Source organism: Homo sapiens, chromosome 3 (genome assembly GCF_000001405.40).
Source record: "Homo sapiens chromosome 3, GRCh38.p14 Primary Assembly".
NCBI classification, from domain to species: domain Eukaryota; kingdom Metazoa; phylum Chordata; class Mammalia; order Primates; family Hominidae; genus Homo; species Homo sapiens.
The window spans coordinates 54,870,064-54,874,604 of record NC_000003.12 but is presented as its reverse complement, the minus strand read 5'-3'; the positions used below and the strand labels follow the sequence as shown (position 1 = coordinate 54,874,604).

Genomic DNA, 4,541 nt, shown 5'->3' with positions numbered 1-4,541 from the left:
AACTTAGAATGGTACTGGTGTACAGGAAGAGCTAATATATGGCAGTTATTATTTTTATGAGTTTTTTTCTATTAATAATCACATTCAATGTGGAAAGCTTGGGAATGACTGGAAGTTAATAGGAACAAAACAAAAAAATCACCCTCAATTCCTTGTGCCATCTCTGAGAATTTATAACCAAAGGATAAACGCTATTTTTAAGATAATTTTCCCTTCCCAGAGGGGATCTACACTGGCAATTCAGACTGGGCTATGCATGTCTCAAAATCCCCTGCTGGCACACGGGTCCGCCAAAGATCTGCCCTACTTATTGTATTCCTGCCCTGATGCCTAACTCATCCTGCAGAGTGGGACAGAAGTCCTGCTCATACTGCTATAAATAGTTTTAAATTGTTGTCTTTTTTTCTTTTAATTTTAGCCAGTCTATTTTATATACATTGTAACAGTATATATGAACTTACTTCATTTTTGGAAGTATGCAGGTTATAACTGTGGTTACTAAATTCAGGAGCCTACTTCCTAGAGAAGTAGAACTCACCTTCCAAGAAATTCTCTGCATCTGGGCAGACTCTACTGCTTCTTCCTCAGTGGGCTGTGCTTACATGTTCTTTCCTAGATTTCAACCTAAACCCTGTCCTCTGCTACTCAGGTGCAAATCCCAAGGCCCAGCACATGGATATGTAAGATTTTGTGCAGACTTCACAATGATGCTTTCTGTAGATTCCAGAATTCTCCAATTAGTGACATGCAAATCCCCAGGAGAGAAATGGTGGTTTGGGTTTTCCCAAGTCAAATATGTTGATAGAGAAGGAATTCACATTCCAAATGCACCATATTCCAAGGCGACAAGTTAAGAGACTCAAACCAAAGACGTAACCAGAGAACAATTTGTGCAGAACAAAAGCACTGGACTTGCTTGAGATGTCCAACTCTGAAGTTGGACAGACAGAACGCAGTCCTGGGTGTCATGTGGAGGTGAAGAACACACACGTGAGGCTGCGAATCCAATGCCTGCAGCTCCAACGAGAAAGCAAAGTAGGATGAGGAGATACAAAGTGTTCCCAAACTGTGATTACTAAAGGAGACATTCGCTCACTGAAAATTAGCTGGGGCACAGGTGATGACTGGAGTGAGCTGAGTCATACATCTCTTCAAGTAGCATGCAAAAAGGGAGACGATTCAGTGAGGTCACAAACAAGCAAACAACAAAAAAAATAAATCAACAGATAAAGTGAAGAAGGAAGAGGAAGGGCAACAATGGAAAGTCCCCTCCAAAGATTCCTAGCAACTGTAAATCCACAGGACATTCATTCATGACAGGGTCCCCTGAGGACTGAGGAGGTCAGAATAATACTAACAATGGCTACCACTTGTAGAATGCTTACTTACTCCCCAGAACAGTGCAAGTACTTCTCTGTTTTTCAATCTATTAATCCATTTAATCCTCAGAACAGCTCTATGAGGTGGGGACAACTGCCATCACACTCATTTTCTTGGGGAAAAATAAAACAAAGAACACAAAATAAAACTGAAGTCTAGAGAGGCATAATCACTCACCCAAGACAAACATCCGGCAAGCAGAGAAGGCGGGATTTGAACCTGGCAGGAGTCTAAAACCTGAGTGGCACTCCTCACAATTGCGCTAAGCCAGGGTGGGCACATTAGGTGCAGGACAGTCCTAAGAACTGACCGGATCCTTGTGACAGTGTTTAAGGAATAAGAAGATAGAAAACTCGACCATGCTATTGAGCTGACACTATGTCAGCTCATTGGCTTGCGGGGAAAAGGGTATGGAGGAGGAAGGAGCTTTTATCAAATGGCAAAGTTATTTTGTCTAAACTTGGGTTTAAGTAGACTTAGAGCAGATGAAGAAGAAAAGAGGCTAAGTTTCTAAAACAGGTATGGCTCTCACATTTTACCAGCAAGGATGAAAATGAGAGATTTATGCTAGTTGAGCTGGTGACAAAGTGCAGAGCGTGTGGAAAGAAGGAAAGCTGCAGCGGAAGCACTGTGATGCTGGCCCCCTGTTCTGGAAGGCATGAGAACCCAGGCTGGGCTTTCAAATGGTTCTCCTCAACATCCCTTTGGAGAGCAGGATGCAGTGAGAGATGGAAACAACGCCAACTCAACAGTGGAACTTAAGAAAGGACCCTAGACGAATCTGGGAGGGTAGGGCAGAGAAACGTGGCCTCAGCACAGACACACTCTTAGAAAAAGGGAAGAGTAGGGACCCAGATGGAAACACCTGGGAAGTTATGATTTAATTAAGGAGAGTCCACCTGGATTCACACAAAGGCAGCCGTGTCTAAGAAATCTGATTTATTGAGGAAGTACCAAGAAGACCTGACAGGGTTAAGTCATGGGTATAAGGAGAGCTTTTGATAGAGCACCATAGGCTGAATCTACGTGGGGAAAAAGCATGGGGTGCAATTGCAGCAAGGCCAGAGCAGAATGAAAGGCTGGGAAGGTACAGGAAATGGGCAGCCGACCAAGCAGGAGAAAAGTGAGCCTGCAGAGCCCTGGGCTGTACTCTGAAAACAAGGGCTGTGCCAATGAGGTCCTGACAGGTGAATTCTTGCTGCCCAGGAACCTGCCTGCTTGGCCTGCAGGCACCCTGACTTTGCACCAGGCAGAGCCTGCTGTTGCCCAGCCAGGTTCCACTGAAGATGTCAGGGGCCATCCACTGTACTGGGAAGAAGGCTGGAGTCATCAGCTGCAGAGGGGACCAGCGTCCGCAGGGGGATGGTTTTAGTAGACTGCACAAGCAGCTGGGGTGGCTGGCCTGTCTGCAACTGGTCCGACTGACCGGCTGAAGAGTTATAAAACTCCACACATGGTACAAAGGCCCCTTGTCTCCACGTCCCTCTGGTAGCCAGGTGTCCCTTCAGTGGGCCTCTTGGCCAACTCCTGGGATCGCCCCCAGGTACAGAAGTGGGTACAATGCAGGTCCTTCTCCACGAGGCCTGAAAACAAATCACTTACCACGTCATCTCGGTCTTCCCACTCCACCTCAGAGAGGTCAACGCTACTATAGTTAGGTTTCCTTCGCTTTTTTCCTTCTTCGTACTAGCAAGGGGAAGAAGAAAAAGAAAAGAAAAACAAAAGTCCGTGAAGTCATCAGCCAGGGCAATCTTTACCTTCCCAAGTCCTGTTTCATGGACAGGGCTTGGGAGTGGACCGATGAGGGTGAGAAGCCCAGCAGGGTGACAGTCCTAGGGACTTTTAATGACAGGAAAGCCAAGGTCAGATGCCTCTAAACATTGGCTCCAAGTTGGGAGTAGAAAAGTTAACTCTTTGCTTGATATGAATTTACCTTGTAGACTTCTTGGTTTCCAAAACACCAGATGCAAAGGAAAATCTGTCCCCTCCTTGAATGGGGGGTGTGTGTGTGTGTGTGTGTGTGTGTGTGTGTGTGTGTGTGTCTCCACCTATATGGTATACATGTAAACAATGTAAATTCTGTAAATCATAGCAGACTAGTTAGCAGTTGGATTTGTCTTCCCATTGAATGGTGTGTGTGTGTGTGTGTGTGTGTGTGTGTGTGTGTGTGTGTGTGTGTGTATCCCAAAGCTGCTAAAACTCAGTCCGTGATACGAGAAAGGGCTTCTTACTTACATTTACCAAAGAATCTAGTCATATCCCCCTATACTTTATAATTCTCTCTCCTCTACCTTTTGTCTCAAACCTACCCGTACTCCTTAGCTAGGAAGCAAAAGCACTGATCTCCAGAGCTGGGGCTGGGCTCAGCATACTGGTGGCATTTTGCAGACACACAGAACCATCTATTCGCTGTCACACTGGCCACAGCAGTACTGAACTAAGCATGGCTCCTTTACCTGGAGTAGATGAGGGTATTGGGAATCATAGCCAGATGTAATGGCTGTTAGGGCATTTCTCCGGAAAAGCTGATGAGTGCATGAATAACTGGGGAAGTGGTTTTAGTTTTCTCCCCTAAATCACTGGTGTTAGTCACCCTGCAAGCCTACCATTTTATCGACCGGACGTTCTTGTGTCTGGACATTCTTGTGTCTTGAGGCCTTTCATGCTGGTTGTGGGGTGTTTATAATGTAGGAAAGTCTGCCCTCTGCTGCAGGCTAAGGATTAGCAACCCCTTTACACGTTCATCAGTTACGGTTAATGGCACATTGGAAAAATATATATGCATGTATACTGCTTTCTTTTTCACTTTTCTCTCCAGCTTGGTCATCTTTTGATTTAACTGGAAGGTTCTAAGTGAGATGCAGGGTCAGTCTAAGTGTTTTAAGACCCCAAAACCATAGGTTGCCATTTTTGACACTGATCAGCTACTATGGAGACAGGTGCTGAGGCCATACTGGGCATGAAGGAGAAAACTGCCACCCATATGTTGAACCAGACAAGTGTAAACTGACCCCCAGTGGGATGAGGGGAGGGCCAGAAGGGGTCGATCTTGCACCACTGTGGTGCCAAACAGGGCCAAGTGTCCACGCATGCACTCTTTTCTTACCTGTCAACTGCATTTCAGGAACTCTGCGACCTCTCTGGAGACTCCCCCTCCTCAC

At 45.8% G+C, this 4,541-nt stretch overlaps 1 protein-coding gene across 1 annotated transcript in view; it reads right to left on the bottom strand.

Moving 5' to 3' along the window:
* The window catches only part of CACNA2D3 (calcium voltage-gated channel auxiliary subunit alpha2delta 3), a 952,006-nt gene that overhangs the window by 199,953 nt on the left and 747,512 nt on the right, over positions 1–4,541 (bottom strand). Inside the window, exon 18 of the mRNA NM_018398.3 lies at positions 2,983–3,066. Coding sequence (NP_060868.2) covers positions 2,983–3,066 — 84 coding nt within the window. The remainder of the gene's footprint in view (positions 1–2,982; positions 3,067–4,541) is intronic.